This window comes from Homo sapiens, chromosome 22 (genome assembly GCF_000001405.40).
Source record: "Homo sapiens chromosome 22, GRCh38.p14 Primary Assembly".
NCBI classification, from domain to species: domain Eukaryota; kingdom Metazoa; phylum Chordata; class Mammalia; order Primates; family Hominidae; genus Homo; species Homo sapiens.
The window spans coordinates 25,882,184-25,901,735 of NC_000022.11; the positions used below are offsets into that span (position 1 = coordinate 25,882,184).

A 19,552-nucleotide genomic window follows, 5' to 3' on the forward strand; every position below is an offset into this window, starting at 1 on the left:
AAATCCCTGTTTTCATCCCTGTTCGTCAAATAATCCCAGTCCCTGGCACAGGATAGATAAAGAATGGTCAAATAGAACCATTAAAGTTGGGCAGAAAAATCCAACACTGAACTTCCTAGCAGCGAAAGCTAAGAGGGAAACAAGCTATTTCATAGACATATTGCATGTAGATTGAAAAAAAAAAAAGAAACACCTGTTACATGAGATAAGAGTAACTTTTCTGGCTATTGAGGTGTTAGGGAAATTTATTCCATGGATTCTCATAAAAGGGGCACTAAGGCATTTAGCAAAGTATGACTTCAGCAATATTCACACAGCAATTGAGAAGGGATGGGTAGGAGCACTTTTGGAGCATCATCCTGAACTGTAAGCCAAGAGCATGATGTCATTTCTTTCAAAAATGAATCAATTGAAATCAAAGCAGTGCTTTATCCAGGAAGCACGTTTGATGACTGAGTATTATGATGACTTTATCTTCCTCAAATCTTTCTCTTCCTTCCCACTTCATCTTCCCCAACTTCCAGTGCTACTACTGGTTTATGTCGGTCACTTTTACATTAAAAAATTTTTAAATAGTTTTAGAGCGTACAATGGCAGTTTTTTTACATGGATGTATTGCATAGTGATGAAGTCTGGGCTTTTAGTGCAACTACCACCCAAATAGTGTGCCTTATATTCATGAGGTCATTACTCTTTTTTAATTAGTTAATTAATTTTTATTTTTATTTTTTGAGACAGAATCTCCCTCTTTTGCCCAGGCTGGAATGCAGTAGAGTAAACACAGCTCACTGCAGCCTCAACCTCCTGGGCTAAAGCGAACCTCCTACTTCAGCCTCCCATGTAGCCAGGACCACAGGCGTGCATCACCATGCCTGGCTGTTTTTTTTCAATTTTGGTAGAGATGGGGGTCTCACTTTGTTGCCCAGGTTGGTCTCCAATTCCTGGGCTCAAGCGATCCTCCTGCCTTGGCCTCCCAGAGTGCTGGCGTGAACCATTGCACCAGACCTGTAATTACACTTTAAAGAGCATTCCAGTCACCTGGGGAACAGTTAGCTCTGTATCTTCCCCAGTCCACCTCCTGAGGGTCTGACCCAAGAGGAGGTTCTTGGTATGGGGGGTAGGGAGCCCTCCAGCCCCTAGGCAATCCTGATTCAGAGGGTGAGGTTGCTTTAGAGCAGTGGTTCTCACACTTGCAAATGTGTCAGAATGCCCTGTAAGACTTCTCCGAATACAGATTGCTAGACTCCAGCCTTAGAGATTCTGAATCAGTAGGCTTGGCGTGGCCTTGGGGAGGCTGTATTTCTAACATGCTAGAGTGCTAAAGGTGCCTGTCCTGGGACCACACTTTGAGACACATTAGGCCAGAGAACAGCTAGAAGATATCTTCTTCCATGTGCATCTGCTTCCTTGGAAGGGAATTTCTGTTAACAGACAGGGATCAGACACCCTTCCAGGACCATGCATCATGATGACACCCCTGCTGCGGTTCGTGGCCTCTGCATGCCACCCCTTTGTCTCTGGAGGGGGAGAAACAGTAATATAAACATTGCTAAAACGTGTCGTGTCTCGTCAGTGAAAACTCCATTTGACTAGGCTTATTAAAAAGACATCACTATTGCAAAATGATTTAAGTGCTTCATTTGTGAAGGAGCAGAAGAGGAGATGAGGAGCCTCTAAGAATCTGGCTATAAATACTCTTCAAGCATGCAAAATGTGCCTTGATGCAAACTGGGGTTTTTTTATTTTCATAAGAAGGCAGTGCTGGCCTTCTTGTTGGAAGCACCTGTAAGGTTTTGGGACCACATGGGATATAAAATGAGGTGGGGTGTTTTTCCACCCCTCTCTGGAATAGGTTCTGGATTTTCCCCCCAAGACCTTATTTATGGCAAAAGACAGGCCCATGCACTCCTCATTTCTGGCCTCATTAGCCTGAGAGGTTTCGCTTTTGGTAAGAAATTGTGGAGACAATCCACTGACGGGGACTGCAGATGTATGTAGGTCAGAAAGTCTATTTGCAAAGTGCTGAGGGAGTTTGATCATGGGTCATGAGTGTGGCTTCCAGCTTGTCTCTAGCAGGAGGTAGGAAAGTGACTTGTTGGGGTCACATGGTCACTGGTAACTGAGCCCAGACCACATCCCAGGTCTCCTGACTCCTCGCTCCATAGTCCTGCCACAGCATCATGCTTCTGTGAGGAACTGGACTGGTAGCTCCCTAATCCCCGGGGGAAATTAGACAGCCTGGTTTCTTATCTGTCTTAGGCTATTAGGATCTGTTGAGCCTTCACTGTTGGGACATGCTAGGGAGTATCTCCTGGTGGACAGTGGAAGAGACATGGTGGTCATATTCATAGATGGTCCTGGTGGAAGAAACTAAGGCCTCTCAGCTAAAGAACAGCTGGTGTATTCTTTCTGACTGTGTGCCTCAGTTTGCCCATACAAAACCGAGTCCATAATCTCTTCTCTACCTGCCTTGTAACACAGATGAATAATCTGGGCACTGTACAAGGTAAGGAATGAATGCAGTGACCTGACCTTGTATGTCCAGTTTGGAGGGGCAGAGGGTCGAGCCAGCTTGAGTTCCAGATGGCTGACTCTGTACCTTCATTGCTACAAGATTGTGGGCAAATTCTTCAAGTCTCTTAGCCTTTGTTTCATCATCAGTAAAATGGCAATGGTAATCATTACTTCATCTTGATAAGCCTGTGGGGAGAAGGTGCATGTAAAACAGTTATAACACTGCGTGCTATCTAGCAAGCCACATCACCACTATTACCAATAAATATATTTTTTAAATGTTTACCCTCCCCCCAGTAGAGTGAATTCCTCAAAGAAAATGACATATCGTAGACAGTTTTATACCCTTCTGTGTCTAGTACAAAGCATTCAATGCAAATTCAGTGAATGGAGTCATACTGAATTTAATTAGAAAAATTACATTTAATGAGTGATGTTCTGTGCCAGCTGCTGCGATAAGTCCTCTCAGCATTGTGAGCATTTACCTGCATTATCTAATTTTACCTTTAACTGAAACTGTGAAGAAGGTGTTAGTATCCCCATCTCACAGATGAGGCAAGGGAAGCCCAGAGAGCTGAAGTGATTTGTCCTACATCACTCAGCTGGTGAATGGCAGAACTGTGATTTGAACCCAGGGCTGGTCAACTCCAAACAGACTGTGATTGAGGAGAAGCATCTACTCAGGTGGGAAATGGGGTCAGGGAGGGCTTCACGGGGGAGAAGTCATGAAGGATAAGCAGGAGCTGGCCAGGTGACAAGGTGAGGGGACATTCCAGGTACAGGGCACAGCAAGAGCAGAGGCGGAGAGCAGAACCTGGTCTGGCAGGTGCAATTCTGGTGGTTGGAGTGTCTTGTATGGGGATGTGTTTGTGTTTGGGGGGTTGAGGGGTTGCCTATGGGTTAGAGATGAGGCATGAAGCCGGACTGGATCGCAGGGGGTCAGGAGAATCACATTCGAGGTTTGGACTTCATCCTGAAGGGGAGGGCAGGACCAAAGGACATTTTCAAAAAGAGGTATGTGGGTGTCATGATCTTAGGATTATTTCCTCTTTGTGCTGAAACACTTGGGGGGCCCTAATGGCCCTTGAAACCCCCTTATAAAGCCCCTGAAAGGCCATAACTGTCCCTTCATTCTAGAGGGACCCCCAAGGCCAGTGGGTGGTGTGTCACCCTCCTATGCCCAGCTCAGAGGCATAACCTTTCTCCTGGCATTCTTACAAGATTGACCCATTCCCACTGACATCCAGAGCCTATAGAGCCTTCCCATGTATGAATTGCTGTCATGCACTTGTTAGTTCAGTCAACCCGTATTCATTGAGTCCTCAAGAGTCAGTTTGGCAGAGTGGTTAAGTAGCCACCACCTGGCTGGTGTCCTTCGGTGAGCGTTTGCACCTTGGTGCCTCAGTTTCCCCATCTGCCACCTCGAGACAACATCAGTACCCACTTCTCAGCATTTTGAGCATTCTGTGGGCAAACCTGTGCATGTGGTAAGCACTATCTGTGGTGGCGATGGTTATTATTATGGTTATTATATGTTACTTAGTAGCGAGTGGTGAACCCAGCTGGGATGCACAGCAGAGGGCTGGAACTGGTGTCCAACAGGCATCTCTGGGGAACCCGGGAGCCTGCCACTAAGCTGCAGATTTATTTTGAATTTCCCCTGCTGACTGAGGCAGCTCTGGGGGCAGTACCATGAGACTGAAGCCATGGCTTAATCTCCTTGACGAACATCCCACAAGCCAGCTGGTACTGCAGTTGGGCTGGCCCTGTATCTACTGCCTCATTTTGTCTTTTCTTCACTCAGGTTGAAGGGGGTGGGAGTGGGGGCTTCCCTTCCACTGGGCATCCACCTAGGCTCTCTTTGGCCAAAGTGTCCAGCAAGGGTGGTTGAGGTCCAGATCTTACTTGGTCTTTGATCTGTACCCACTGGCTACTTAATCTCAGCTCTCTGGGCTATGGCTGCCTGGTTTGTTCTAGGTGGATAATTGCTTTACTAACCTCCAGATGCCAGAGGGGTGAGGGAGGTCAAAGAAAGGGTCAGATGGTAGATGTGGGACAGAAAATAGTGGGGTTGTTGTGAGCCAGGTGCTGGGAATCAGGCAGCCCAAGCTGGGCTACCTCTGCTACTTACCAGCTATGATCCTAAGCAAATCACTCCCTCTCTCAACTCCCCAGTTTCCTGTTCTGTAAAAGGGGAATAACAAAAATGCCCTTCTCATAAGGTATTTGAAGGGCTTAAGGCAAATGACATATGCCAAATGCTTAGGGCATACCTATCCTCAGCATTTCAAGAGTGTGAGCTGTTTCTCACCCAAGGGGTTATAATGAACAGATCTTTCTGTGCAAATTGCAAAGTATGGGAGGAGAGCAAAAAGTTGCTGTTTCCTGCTGTCTGCAGGTCAGATGGTTTTTGGGCTTGACAGTCTATGAATATAAGAGCTGAGGACAGGATCAAGCCAAGACCCGTGTGTGCCCCTGTGGTTTGTTTGTCTCTCTGACTGGCCAGTGGGGTCCTTCAGAACAGGACCTGGCACACAGTAAGTGCTCACATAGTGCTTGTTGGATCCGTGAAGAACAAGCAACAGTGACGGTCCCAAGGACCCCAGGTGTGTCCTCCAGCATTTAACATCCGTGAAATCCCAGTTACTCACTGCTCGCCCAAGCTGCAAATGAGGCCAGTGCACAGGATATTTTTTTTTCTGTTCCACTCCATACAAAATATACAACAAATTTATTAATTCCTGTCCCCTTCTCTCTGGCAGGCCCTTGGAGTAATTGTCCCTCAATAGAAAGAATATTTCTGTTGGTTTGGCCAAGTGGTAGATCCGGAGAGGTTTTCAAGATAATTTCTGGTTAATTGGTTCTTGAGTAATCTGCAAGGACTCTTCTGGGTTTGCAAACCAGACTCCCCCCTTCATTAAATTGGTTTTCAATTTGCAATCGCCTGACAGCTCTGAGCATGGTGCCTGCTCCTCACCTCCATCCAAAGCCCCTGTGCCCCATGGTGTGGGAAGGGATAGGGATTTATGGGGACAGGGGAAGGTCAGGGGCACCTTGTCTCTGAGAAAAACATGTGTCATTTCCCCCAATTTGAAAAGACTAATTGTCCTTTGGGCTCCAGACTTTGGGTTCTGTGAAACTCAAAATTAATGCATCAAATTAATTGTGTGGTCCCCTTGCTCAGGCCGGTTAGCATAAATTAAATTTCACACTAATTGGCTAAGGTGGAGAGAACACAGTCCTGGTGCTTGGAATTAATGCTAATTTCAAGGATGGTGTTTGGGGTGTGACCTGGGGCATTCCTGGCTTGCACCTCCCTGTATTGTGTGGCCAGTGCAAATCAGCACTCTTGCAGCAAGAATGATTTTGCACAGCCTTAAGCAAATCTAACCCCTTCAAATCCAAGTGTGAGGCCAAAATTAGGAGGAGACCCTGGCAGTTTCTATGGCAGTAATTCCTAAATTTTTTTGTTCATAAAAATCACCCTGGAGCAGGTTGAAATGTAGATTCCTGAATTATGCTTTAGAGATCCTGGTTTGGGGGTCTGAGAGTCCTATAATTTGCATTTTCTTTTATTTTTTTAAGAGTCAGGGTCTCACTCTGTCACTCAGGCTGGAGTGCAGTGGTGTGATCATAGCTGCTGCAGCCTAAACCCCTGGGATCAAGTGATCCTCCTGCCTCAGCTTCCAGAGCAGCTGGGACTATAGGCACACACCATCTCGGCTGGTTTATTTTTAAAAACTTTTTAAAGCCAGGGTCTTGCTATGTTGCCCAGGCTGGTCTTGAACTCCTGGCCTCAAGTGATCCTCCTACCTCAGCCTGTCAAAGCACTGGGATTACAAACATGAGCTATCATGCTCTGCCCTAGAATTTGCATTTTAACAACCATCTGAGGTCATTGCCACATAAGTACTTCCCTGGTGCACGGTGTAAGGAACAGCAAGAGAAAGCTCCCATGCTGGAGACAACCAGGAACACCCTAGGAGAGTCCCTCATTAATTAACTGGAGGTCCTGACTTGGACCTGACTGGTCTGAGTTCAAATCTCAGTTCTGCCTTTTACATGTGATGTGACTTTGCAGTGCTTCCCCCAAGCCTTCTTTCTCCTCTGCGTCTATTGAAATGTGCATTTTGGTCTCAGCAGTCGGTGATGCGGTCAACAGGGTGGGAGGCAGATGGGCTGGAGAAGTGAAACAGATGGGGAGCATGGAATGCACAGAGCAGCCTCAGATTTTGTTCACTCTTTTTGAAAGATGTTTTGTTTTCTGATTACAAAATCAGTTAAAAAATCAACAGTACAGAAATGCATCACAAGAAAATTGGAGTTCCCTGTGAGCCCATCCTTCCAGGAAAAAAAAAAAAATCTCAATTAACAGTTTGGGAGTGCTTTGTTCTGTGCAAACAAAAATGGGATTACACCAAACATTCTATTCTGGAAATTTGCCTTTTTTTCCCCTTTGGCAATATATCTTGGGGATATATTTTTTTTATGTCAGAACATAGATCTGCGTCTTCCTTCTTCATGGGACAGCTGAATAAATTTTGAGCCTGCCTAAGCTGACAGTACCGAGAGAGGCTAGCTCGGGAAGGGCAGCTACGTTGCTCATTGTAAGAACCATTTACCTTCTCAGTAAAGATAATGCAGAGTCGCCTCTAAATATCAGTCATGATGCAGAGGGTCCGATGAAAGAGTGAGGCATTCTAACATCTTCACATGCAAAATTTACAGCAGGAGGACATGTGACCGCACCCAATTCAATGCATTTTACAGCTCAGGTGACCAAGGCTCCAGAGCAGGAGGGAATGTCCAAGGTGTTAGTTGTTGAGTCTGGACTCGAACCTTGCACCCTACCTCTTTCTTTTTTTTTTTTTACAATTCTGCTGCCTTCCATAAGAGGTAGCCTCAGTTTTATGAGCTGCCCTTCTCCTACATAGGGTTGTTTCTCTGCCTCTTAGCCATAAACACTCCACTAATATATTTCTCCCGTTACGTACTCTGCCATATCCTCAAACCCTGAACGCTTCATTTTGGAACGATAATGCCACAGAAGCCCTGCTCATTTGGCATCGGTGGCTGGTCAGTTAATCAGAAAAAAAAACCAGTGCAGGTGGGAATTCATTTAAAAATTCCTATTTTAAAATTAATTACATGTGTAATTTAAATCACTGCATTTCTGAGGCAGGACCCATCCATTTCTTTCTTTCTTAAACCACGCTCCTAATATACAACCGTATGATTTCCAATTTTGGCTTCTTTAAAACAGAGCAAATGGCAAAGTAATTTGAATACAAAAACCTAATTTTTTACTTCAAGTTTCTTTTTAGTTGTTGCAACAACACCTATTTGGCAGCATTTTAAAAAGCAGCTTACCTTTATTAATTCCTTCCAAGGCATTCAACCTAGTTTTCATGGAAACTCTGTCCAGCCATATTTTATAAGTTTATGTAGTAGCTAACTGAATAGATAGCTATGGTAAAAATGCAATAGGCAAAAACAGTTTGGGAGCACACACATGTGATACTGGATGTGCATGCCTGTCACCTGCTAGAGGCAGATAGGCCATGGGGCCATTGTAGAGAGGTGGTCTGGTGGAGAGCATTCTGGTGCAGTGGGCATCCATCAGTGTGTCTTACTGAGGGACAGTGTTGGTACATCCAGTGAGATGATTTGCTAAAAGCTGGTTACGAAGAGATTCCACTAAAATGGCCATTTTTAAAACTGAGCACTTACTACGTGCCAGGCACCGTGCTAAGCTTTCAATGGATTATCTCCTTGAATCCTCAAAAATAATGATGTATGTTGTTTTCCCCCCTTTAAAGCTGAGAAAACTGAGAACCAGCAAGGCATCCTGCTTGGTGTAAAATCACACAGCTAGTGAGTGTTGAACCACATCAAGACCAATAAAATTCTGAAGTCCATCCTCTTAACGAGTTGATTATACTCAAGGGTTGCTTTCCCATGATAGTGATTTGTCCAAAGGCGATCCTGTGCATGGGGAGAGAAGGGTTGGTGGCTCCATCGAGTGACCGTTCCTTGATCACCCCATTCCCCATCTCAGATTGCTGACTTGACCTCTGACCTTGCCGATGAGCGCTTCAAAGGTGATGTGGCCTGCCAGGTGCTGGAGAGTGAGCGGGCAGAGCGGCTACAGGCCTTCCGGGAGGTCCAGGAGCTCAAGGTGAGTGGTCAGGGGTGGCCAGGGGTGGCTGAACACGGTGGCTAAAAATGGTTGGGTCTGCTCCCCGACCCTCTCATTGGAGATCAGTAAGCTTAAGCAAGATGCACAGGTTGACTGACTGCTGGGCTCAAGGTCCTGGGGGACACTTAGGTCTCCTAAGGCTTGGCCTTGGGGGTGTTATGGGTGGATAGTCCCTGGCTAGAGAGGCGAATAGGAGAGGATTGTGCAGAAGGTGGACAGTCTTTGGCCTTGGAGGTGATTTGGGTGAGAAATATGCCGAAGGTGGCTAGCCCATGGTCCTGGATTCTGCATGGCTCAGGGCTGTGCAGAGGGTGGCCAATCCGAGCCTTGGAAGCACTTCATGGGTAAGATGACCAGCCCATGTCTTCTGTCCAGCTCTAGTTTAGACCTTGAGCCCTTTCTTCTAGAGCAAGCATGAACAAGTCCAGAAAAAACTGGGAGATGTGAATAAACAGTTGGAAGAAGCCCAGCAGAAAATTCAGTTGAATGACTTGGAAAGGAATCCCACTGGAGGAGGTGAGCAGCCTGGGACCCTTGGGGCTGGAAGGTGATGGACAAAGTTGTCTTTCCCATTTATTCAGTCACTCATAGAGCACTTTTTAGGTGCTAGATATTGCATGAGGGGCTGCGACTTTGGCAGAGCAAACAGGCACAGCGTACTCTCTTGGAGCTTACAGTCTAATGGAATAAGCAGATATTAATCAGATAATCCAACAATATCCCAGGTAACAAATTATCTGTATGATATGTGCTATTTAGTTTTAATGCAAAGAATGATTTTTAAATAGTGGCTTTATGGGCAAGGTACTTTTATGTTTATGTGAATATTTTAAAAATAAATTTTGAGAGGCCTGGCGTGGTGGCTCACACCTATAATCCTAGCACTTTGGGAAGCTGAAGTGGGAGGAGTGCTTGAGCTCAGGAGTTCAAGACCAGCCTGGGCAACATAGTGAGACCCCATTTCTACAAAAAATTTAAAAAATTAGCCTGGTGTGGTGGCATGCACCTGAAGTCCCAGCTACTTGGGAGGCTGAGGTAGGAGGATCACTTAAGCCTGGGAGACCTAGGCTGCATTTCAGCCTGGGCTACAGAGCAAGACCCTGTCTCAAAAAAATAAAAGCAAAAAGAAAACGTAAATTTTGAGGAAGGCTGTCTAGTGGTTAAAAGTTGGAACCTATGAAGTTGTATTTCTGGATTTGGATTTTGGGGCAAAGAAATTGCTGTGCCTCAGTTTCTTCCTCTTTCAAATGGAGATTGTCTTGGATAATTGATAGAAAATGTTTAGCCACATGTATAGAATAGAGTGATGAATAGCTAATAGCTACTTTACCATTATTATGAGGAATGATGAGATCACAGTTCATCCTTATAGCAACCTGTGGAACAGAAACTACTGCTCTCCCCATTCAAAGAGGGTAAAGCTGTGTCAGGCGCACAACAGTTACCAAATGGCGAGAAGGCGAGAGGACTCTTGGTTTTACCCAGGGATATTATACATTTGTTCAGTAGTGCCAGGAGTTTCTGGAGGTGTCCTTCTTATACAGTTTCCTGGAGACCTCGTGATTGGATGGCATGGTGACATCTTTGCCACCTTGTCACCGTGCCTCTTACTCTCCCCAGCCTAATGGAGTTGGGTGAGAAGGATATCCAGTGGGTCAGCTTCTATAAAATGTCAGCATTATTCCCTCCGTGTGTCCAGAGAATTTGTGCCCTTGAGATGTCCAGGGGAATGGAGATCAGGGGTCTGTGGAAAAGAGACAATGAGTATTTATTTTCTGTTTCATTCTTGTTCTTGTTATCCTGGCTACCCCCGTGGCAGGCATTTAGCAGGGAGGTTAATACAGATGAGTTTGAGGCTCTCTTATAAGCGAGACCCAACAAGGTAGGGTACACATAGAGAGAGGGGAACATGTTGGTATAAAATCAGTAGTGTGGGACAGTCTCTGGCCTTGGAGGTAATTTCTATAAAATCCCCAGAGGGGCGCCAGTGTCAGTTCCATCTGCGTGAAATTCATGTCTAAATAATGCTTCCCAGTTTGTTTTCCTCTGTTAAGATTGGGGTGTTAATGAGAGGGGGACATGTGCTTAGCTCATGGGCACATTAGTCACAATGCTATATAGGCTCTCAGCTCTGGATGCTCATTCCAAGAAGCCAACCCACAAATATTTTGTTTTTCATTATGAAAGTAATACATACTCATTATAGAAAATGTCTAAAATATAGGAAATTTGAAAGAAGCAGTAAAACATTTTAATCATATCATCGCAGTGGTACCACAACCACCTCTATGGTTCAAGATGGAGTATGAATTATTTAAAAAAATATGTTTTCCTTTATGCATGGCTAAATATTTAAAGAGAACCTTTTGTGATATGCACTCAGCGTGGAGCTGGACACTGTGGGGGTTACAGAGGGATTTTAATTGGGCCCTGCTCTCAAGATATTCACGATATAAATGGGGATATCAGGTAAACTCAGGAAAACATGTTGATTAAGGGTGGCACTCATGGGCAGGGAGGTTGAAGGTAGAGATGAGCCTTGAAGGAGAACAGTTTCCCCTCTTGTTCGTGTTGCCCACTCATGCCACTTGCTCTATAGCACATCATAGCACAGAGTACATGGGAAGCTGCAGAAATGCTTTCTGCTGCTGCTTCTTACTTTTGCAGTCCATGCTGCTTGTGATTGTGAGGCTTTTCCTGGTGGAGAGATAGTGTGCTTTTCCCATCATGATGTTTTTACCTTGGTGGAAGCTTGAACAAGCTTTAACTCTTTATTATTATACCATCCGTTATTTGGTTAATGATGTAGAAATCTCTATTGAGGTCACCTCTTTCAAGAACTTAATCCTACCATCCATCCATCTATCCATCCATCCACCCATCCACCCATCCACCCATCCACCCATCCACCCATCCATCCATTTATCCATCTGCCCATCTACTCACCCACCTATCCATATACCCTACCACTTATTTATATATCAATCCATGCATTCATCCACCCATGCACCCACTTCTCTGTCTACACTAACATCCATCCATCCATCCATCCATCCATTATTCCACCTATCCAACCAACTATTTATCCATTAATCCTCCACCCTATCATCTAGTCAAACGTCCTATCCATTCAACTATCCACCTTTCCAGTGGAAGTTATTGAGCATTTACTATATGCTAGGCATTATAGCATATTCTAGGAACACAATGATGAACAAAACAAGTTTGTTGTCTTATTAATTTTGGTTCTCTTCTGGATTTCTATAAGCTTCTTTATGAAAGCCCTGATCATACTAGGCTTCAGCTGTCTTTTTACTTGTTTCCCTTGCTTGATTATTCTGGAAGGTGGGTGGATATGGCTTCTTATTCATTTCATTATCTTGTACAAAGTAGTGTGCTCAATGAGTGTGTGAATGGATGGATGGAAGGATGGATGGATGGATGATAGATGAATAAGTGGGTGGTCTCTATCTTTGGTCATCCACTTGTGGAATGTTTTCCACAACTTCATTAACTTAATGGGCATTATTCTATTATTCAGATAGTCAAAAGATAAGACATCTTAGCCTAAAATATTCCATTCTAATCAGTCAAACAGTTTTAATCAAACCAGCCAATAATTTTTTTGAGATGTTTACCAAATCAAGGGATTTGGTATCCATCTTATCTTGTGGAGACATCTTCTGAACAGTTTAGTAGAGTCTTGAATTATTGCTAATTTACTCATTTGTTAATTGCACCAACAGCCAATGATTATATACTCTGTACAACCCAATAAAGTTGGCCAGTAGGATGACTCTTTTTATCTGATTATTGTATTAGGTTCATTAAGCAATCCATGAGCTTGTATCAACATGTAGGGGAATCTGCTTGTAGGGAACTCTTCCAGAGGGTGTGAAGGACTCACAGATGACTGAAACAGCTCCCTTGCCCTTAAGGATTATGAAATTTCCTTGGAAAAGGGAAGATATGAATACACTTATAGAGACAACTAAACAGTATAAGGCAACCAATCTTAGAAGAGTGAGCACTCAAGAACTTTAGACAGTTGGAGGTGGTCAGGACAGGCTGCCTGGAGGAAGCGTTATTTAAAACTCAGAGTTAAAGCATAGTTTCTTGGTCCAAGGTTGAGGCTCAAGGGCTCTGTGAATATTGTGAAATTGCATGCCAAGAGCCAAGAAAGTGGAGGAGAGCCACTCACACTCTTGCCTTACACTCATTTGGCCTCTTATCCTGGTCTCCCTGACTCCGTTAAACAGCAGACGAGTGGCAGATGCGCTTCGACTGTGCTCAGATGGAGAACGAGTTCCTCAGAAAGCGTCTGCAGCAATGCGAGGAGAGGCTGGACTCGGAGCTGACAGCCAGGAAAGAGCTGGAGCAAAAGGTAAGATGTGGGGATAGTCTGGGCCACAGAAGTGTTAGAGAGTGGGCAGGCTCTCACCTCCACTGTGGGTGATCGAGGTATTAGCTGAGCCTGAAGAGGGAGGAAGAGGACACAAACCCCTTAAGGTTTTTCCATCTCCACTATTATTACAAATGCTGGTCACTGTGAGACATGAAAAATATTGTCTGTACATGTGGATCTTCTATCCAGAGACTGCTCTGTGGTGTAAAGAACATGGATATTAACTCAGGATATCTGAGTTCCAGTTCCATTTCTACGTGAACCTTGTGGAAGTCACTTTAACTCATGTTTCTTATCTATTACATAATTATCAGCGGTCTCAAAACCTTCACATTTCCCTGTTGCCTCTGTTCTAATCTGCTACCTTCATCTCTCATCCAGACCAAAGCAATAGCCTCCTAGCTGTGCTCCTTGCCTCTGGCCTCTCCTCTCAACCACCTGCCACACTGCAGCCAAGGAATGTTTCAGGGTCTCTTTCAGATTGTTCTGTGATCATAAAGTATGCTGACTCTCATGTTGGATTTTTTTCCTTGTGTGTTTTGTAAATTTCGTTTTTGAGCTCATCTTCAACAGGTTTCTGTGCTCCTCCCCCAGTAGTCACAGGTGTTCTGCATTGTGGAATGTTTTTTTTTTTTTCCGCTCCCAGTGAATTTTTGTGTGTGTATTTAGCTATTTTTTATTGTGAGTTCACCTTCAGCAGGAGATTTAATTTTTTTAACATTCTGTTGACTTTGATGGGAGCCCTTTGATAACAGGGTCGTGGGTGTGTTCTGCTAGAAGAAACCCTTTTTCACTTTCTTTGGCAGCAGTCCTTGAGATAATGCTAAATTCTTGGTCTCAGATGTTTTGCGGCATGTAAAAATTGTCAATTGGATCTCTAAACCCACATGAGGCTTAGACCTGGGGTTTAAAATTCTTACGAGAGTACTTCTTGCCCCACCTAGATCCAGGGTGAAAGCAAGCTTTCTTACCACCTTCCAGGCCAGCAGGTGGAGCTTTTATTTTCTCTTCTCACTGAGGTGCATGCAGTTCTTTGAGGGGTTTGTCAATGCAACGGTCTTCATTCCAACTCTTCACCTTCCATGAGCCCAGAGCCTTGTCTCCTGTCTCTGTCTGGGCATTGAAACACAAACCTCTATCCTAAAGGACACTTCTGGATCTATCAACTGCTCTTCCCCCTCATCCTGGCCGCCATAATATTAGTATGTACCATTACTGTTAGGGCTTTGTGTCCTCTGCATTTCTGATATCCTGAAATTTCCTTCTTTCTTGAAGGTAACATTACAAATCTAATGCAATCTTATCTATATATAATATATTTTTATCTAGCCTTTCTAGATGAATGTACAGATAGTTTGGTCTCTCTGCTTGTCTTCTGTGGCCTCCAACTATCCCTCGTCTACATTCTAACCAGTTCACACTCTAACAAATGGTGTGCTAGTAAATGGCTCCCTGGAAAAAAACAAAAAGCCCTGATTTGTAGCACTTGCCAATTTCCCTGGTGTAAATACTCCCACCATGGCCAATTTCAAACTACCATTGTGATGTCACTAACATGGAATTTGAAAGGGATGCACAGAATTAGCTCTGTGCATCTCTTTCAAGTCGGTACCAGCTGACTCTGGCACACCACTGATTCCAGCCACACTCAGTTTTTTTTCTTCTCCTTCCAAAAATGCCTGATTCTTTCTCACCTCTGGGACTTTGCATGTGCTATTTCTTCTTCCCCGAGCAATCTTTCTTTTTCTCTCCTGCCTAGATATCTCCAACTATTCTTAAGATCTTAGCTTAAATGTCACTCTCTCCAGAAAGTCTTTGCTGACGCAGATTGGGTTGGGAGTCCCTGAGTTGTCTTCCAAAACATAGGCCTCATCATGTTGTATTGTAATTACCTACTCACTTCATAGTCTCTCCCATTCGATATCGGAGCCATAGGGTGGAGGTTATATTTGTGTATCTATTCTATTCTCAACGTGAGCAAAAAGTATCATGTGATTGCCTTGCAGAGGTGGGCCTGGGTGAGATCACATGGGATTTTATAAACAATGGAAGTGACTCTTGATATCCTCTATGCTGATGGTGATGATTTTAGTGGTCGCTTTCAAGGTGAACATTGCATCGTGGTCCTCAAGAGACATCTTGAACCATAGATAAACACAGATGGACAACTGCAGGAAAGCAGCCCAGTTCTTTAATAACAAATTATAAAGTTGAGTCAGTTTCCCTGATGAAGGGGGATATTTATGCTACATTAAAAAGTAATAAAACAGCAACCTTTTCTGAGCAGCAGAATATAAGAGAACATCCCATTTGCCTTCAAATACTGAATTTAGAATTACAGGCTTCATTAACTCAGAGTTTTGCTTATTTAAAGCAATTTTTTAATGAGGCCATTTCTTCAAAGCCAGTGTGCTGAGTTGCGTGCTCTTTCCCAGATCTAAACTAGGACATTTGGGAGAGTGTTTCCTGGAGGAAGATGCAAGAGTCTTGACTTTTGTTTGTTTAAGGCCGTGTGCATTCTGGTATTAATTCAGTCCATGCAAAGTGCCATTTGCTGCTTTAACCTTTAAGGCTTGTCACTTGGGATTCCGGGTCAGATTTTCTAGGTATGTCATTTTGGCTGCTCTGTGGCTAATCCTCACATATCCCTTCTGATCATGTCGGCTGGTGGGGATATGAGTTATCCGGTGGCTCAGGGGTCATCAAGTTGAGGCAGGGTAGGTAAAGTCTGTGGGTGCATTGGCTGGAGGTTTATTGAGCAAAAGTAAAATCAACCTTAAGAGATTGATGGAATTATCCCCACTTTACCTCTGAGCAAACTGAGGCTCAGAAAAGTAGCTTCCTGGAGGTGACCCTGGAGGAAGGTAGTCAAGACAGGGTCTCCCCATTCCAGCATCTGCTGTTTTCTCATTACACACCTTGGAAATAGCAACTCCTTGAAATACAAAGTAAAAAGCTCGTTCCATGCCCACAGAGCCGGGTAATTCATTCTATTACTCTTACAGCTTGGGGAGTTGCAAAGTGCTTATGACGGGGCCAAGAAGATGGCTCACCAACTGAAGAGGAAGTGCCACCATCTTACCTGTGACCTTGAGGATACCTGCGTCCTGCTAGAGAACCAACAAAGTCGAAACCATGAGCTGGAGAAGAAGCAGAAGAAGTGAGTTGCATCTCTCACCATCACCTGGGCTGCCAGGGTGGGCTACATTGGAGCTGGCGTTTTCTGGGGTATCCAGGTTCTCCTAACTCCCTCACTTCAACTCCCTTGTTTTGCTCTAATCTTCCTCCCTGTCCCGTCACACCTTATTCCTGTATGGTTCTCCCAAGAATCCAGCAAGAAATTATTCTTTTCTCTTAGCCAGCCTCAACTATGTGGCCAATTGATCTTGTGACCTTGGGGAACTTTCTTTGCCTTTCTGGGCCTTAACATCCCCATTTGTCGAGTGAAGGGTTTGTTGCAGACGGTCAAGACAGCATGGCGATTAGGAGCCCAGGCATTGATATAAAAGTCATCTCATTCAAGTCCTAAAGGTGCCTCTTTCTAGATGTGTGACCTTGAGCAGGTCATTCAGTCCTTCCCAGCCAGATTCCTTATCCGTAGGTTGGTGATAAGATCGCCCCCTTGTGCTGAGGACTAAATGATGCAGTCAGTACATCTAAGTGGACTGATCCTGGTTCCTCTTCCTGTTGGTGAAAATTGGGCTAGAGAATAAGGAGGAGGCCAAAATATGGCCTTCTCATTTAGGACTTGGACTCTCAGATCACGTGAGCCATTCTGGCAGAGACTGGGCCTTGTGCACCAGCAAGATGCTAATCTTGAATCTGCACGGTGTGGTTCCCATATTTGCATTCCCTTTGGGTTGCTGTTACAGTGAGGCGATGGTGGAGCCTGGATTTGTACCCAGATTCGCACACTCATAGGCTTCTTCATGCAAAACCTCAGAACCTGTGATGCTTGGACGCCTTGGCTGTGTCTAAAGTTCTCCAGCTCACTCGGTGAGGGGAAAGGTATACAGGGGTCCTGTTTTGAGCCAGCCAAGTCCTAATGGAGATGTCATACTAGGCAAATAGGTGGGAAGCAGCCTCTTTTAGAAGGCCCATGATAAAATACAGAAAAATGTTCCTGTGTGAGCCAAGATGTGAATTTGTGGAAACTGCCTCCTTTCCAAGAAGTAGGAAGGAGAATTATATTTCCATGGAGGTGGCATAGATTTTGAACTTGATCTGCATTAAATATTATTTATCTTATTTATCCTACAGCTTTCCTGAGCTGGCTTCTTCATCTGACAAAGGTCTTTGGGGGATTGTTAGCGTGCTCTGCATCCCCAAAATAAGAAAGATTTATTTTTTGTTTATTGATATCTCACTCTGTTCCCCTTTCCACCTCCCTGTGGGTGCTCTGGCTGAACCTTACCCCTGCAGTGGGGAAAATGGCTTGGCTCCATCTTGGCCACCTGCTGTGTGTCCTTGGCAAATAACACCACCTCTCTGGGCCAGAGAGTGACTGATGGTTCAGATGGTGCAGAAGTCTCAGTTTAACAGGTCATCTGATCTGGAAGAATGGCTCTGACATATACCCCTGTCTGTGAAACAAGAGGTTGGGACTCCATCATTCCCCAAGTTTCTCCCAGCTGTGACCCTCTTGGCCCCCAACTATGGGTTCTACTCCTGTTCTGAGAGGCCTAACTGAGGGTTTCAACTCTCTGATGAGTAAGGGGCCAGCCTCTGGAGTTTGTGCAGCCAGAAAATTCCATCTGTCTGGTCTTTCCTTTTCCCTTTGGACAGAATCCCTCATTCCAGGCACTTATGAATCTCCCCAGGATACCCCCCAAGCAAAGTTCCTATTTCTTCATATTTGCATGCCCTCCTCTCAAAACTTAGCTTTCTTGTGATGCCCTCTGCTCTGTTACCATCTCTAGGCAGAAGCTAATTTATGTTTTGATGCCAATTGCAGATAGCAGGCATTACCTTTCCAGGTAGATTAGCATTTTATGTCTCAGTCTAACTGTGGAAGTTCAGGCAGAATGACTATGGTGAAGGGAAAATTTAGAAGTCAGTAATACTTCCTTGCATCTCTCGATGCTTAATCGAAATGTAGATGCAGCTGCCTCCTGAGTTTGCTGGGCCCAGGATAGAGTGATGCCTCCACATTGGTAGAGTTCTCTGTTTCCCGCTTTGGCTTCTAAGTTCAGAGTGGCCTGGGATGGTTTCATTTTGGTTGGATTGTTTGTGGCATGATTACCCTATGGGTCACAAAGCTTGGTTCTGAGGGCTGATGAAATTCCGGGTAAGCCCTGTGCTAGACTCACTGATTCCCACACTCAAGGGTGGCTGGACCCAAGGCCCTTTCTTAACAGATTGAAGGTTGTGTGCAAACCTATCTGGCCTCAGGCAATTGGCTGGTCAGTGTGGGCTGTTTGCTAGGAGCTGGTGTTTGTAGTAGCTATTCTTTGGCATCAAGTGGCCTGTTAAGTCAAGGACTCCTCTGCACCATCAGTTACTGTCTGGTCCCTACTGTCTTACCTCACCTGTCCCAGGAATGGACAGGTAGATGGGGGACTAGCTAAGACATTAGGGAAGCCCAAGTCCATTTCTACCACTTTGGAATTTGGGGCTGAATCACTCCTCCTCTCCGAGTGATTTCAGTTTCCTCCTCAGTGAATGGATCGAATAACATGTTTCTTGCTGAACTGTTGTAAGGACGACATGGATCCCAGCCCAGGACCTGACACACTGGGACTGCTGGATCATCACCCTCATCACAATGCTTCCATTCAGAGGCAGCAAATAGTGCCCCTTGAATGATGTCACCAACAGCCAATCAGAAAGCTCCTGAGCTGTTCCAACAGGAGGGCTCCATTATGATTGGGTCTCTCAGAAGTCTGAGACTTTGAATGATAGTCTAGTATTAAGGAACACTGGATAGTCTTATAATAAGCGAGACTTTCTTGCCACCAAAGGCCAAACCCCATGCCCACTTCTGCCATATCAAGATCTCTGGAACAATGGGACTTCCTGTTTGGGCCAAGGGGAAGTGACTGAAAGTCACACCTTACTGAGGCTTGGCAAAGCCTTCTCTATCGGTTTCCTCACCTGTGATACTGCCAGGAGGCTGAGACAACTGAACAGAGTGACATAACATCCAGGAGGGGCTTCTCACCCAGTGGTCATCACAGAAGGGCAGGAGGGCCCCTAACAAGGCATTAATTCCCTGGATGACTTTCAGTAGGACTGACTAGTCTTTGTGTTTTCTGCTTGAGAAACAAATGAGGACAAGAATGTATAAATGTCCATCATTTTATTGATAATCAGCATGCTTTAGTATGGCATATGAGAGTATAAGCCAGACAATATGTTAAAATATGAAATGTAGAATATCCTCATTCTACTTACATCCATTCGTTTGTTCATTGGTCAGGAAATATTGGAAGTCA

At 44.7% G+C, this 19,552-nt stretch overlaps 1 protein-coding gene and 1 long non-coding RNA gene across 17 annotated transcripts in view; one reads left to right on the forward strand and one right to left on the reverse strand.

Moving 5' to 3' along the window:
* MYO18B (myosin XVIIIB) overlaps positions 1 to 19,552 on the forward strand; it is a 321,660-nt gene that overhangs the window by 139,996 nt on the left and 162,112 nt on the right. For 11 of the 14 annotated variants that reach the window (XM_011530461.3, XM_011530458.3, XM_011530464.3 and 8 more), the window contains 4 exons: positions 8,573 to 8,692; positions 9,121 to 9,229; positions 12,973 to 13,097; positions 16,124 to 16,278. In XM_011530461.3, the coding sequence (XP_011528763.1) occupies positions 8,573 to 8,692; positions 9,121 to 9,229; positions 12,973 to 13,097; positions 16,124 to 16,278 (509 nt within the window). The remainder of the gene's footprint in view (positions 1 to 8,572; positions 8,693 to 9,120; positions 9,230 to 12,972; positions 13,098 to 16,123; positions 16,279 to 19,552) is intronic. The other 3 variants (XM_017029014.2, XM_047441551.1, XM_017029015.2) reach the window with 1 other exon arrangement.
* MYO18B-AS1 (MYO18B antisense RNA 1) lies at positions 1,716 to 18,730 on the reverse strand. 3 transcript variants are annotated; one of them, XR_938086.3, is made up of 3 exons: positions 17,533 to 17,753; positions 10,044 to 10,457; positions 1,716 to 2,700 (listed from the first exon to the last, which is right to left on the reverse strand). It is a non-coding gene; the product is annotated as an MYO18B antisense RNA 1 (long non-coding RNA). The 3 variants fall into 3 exon arrangements; XR_007068035.1 differs by lacking the exon at positions 1,716 to 2,700 and adding an exon at positions 18,642 to 18,730 and having other exon boundaries at positions 10,373 to 10,457; positions 17,533 to 17,701; XR_007068034.1 differs by lacking the exon at positions 1,716 to 2,700 and adding an exon at positions 18,087 to 18,175 and having other exon boundaries at positions 10,373 to 10,457; positions 17,533 to 17,701.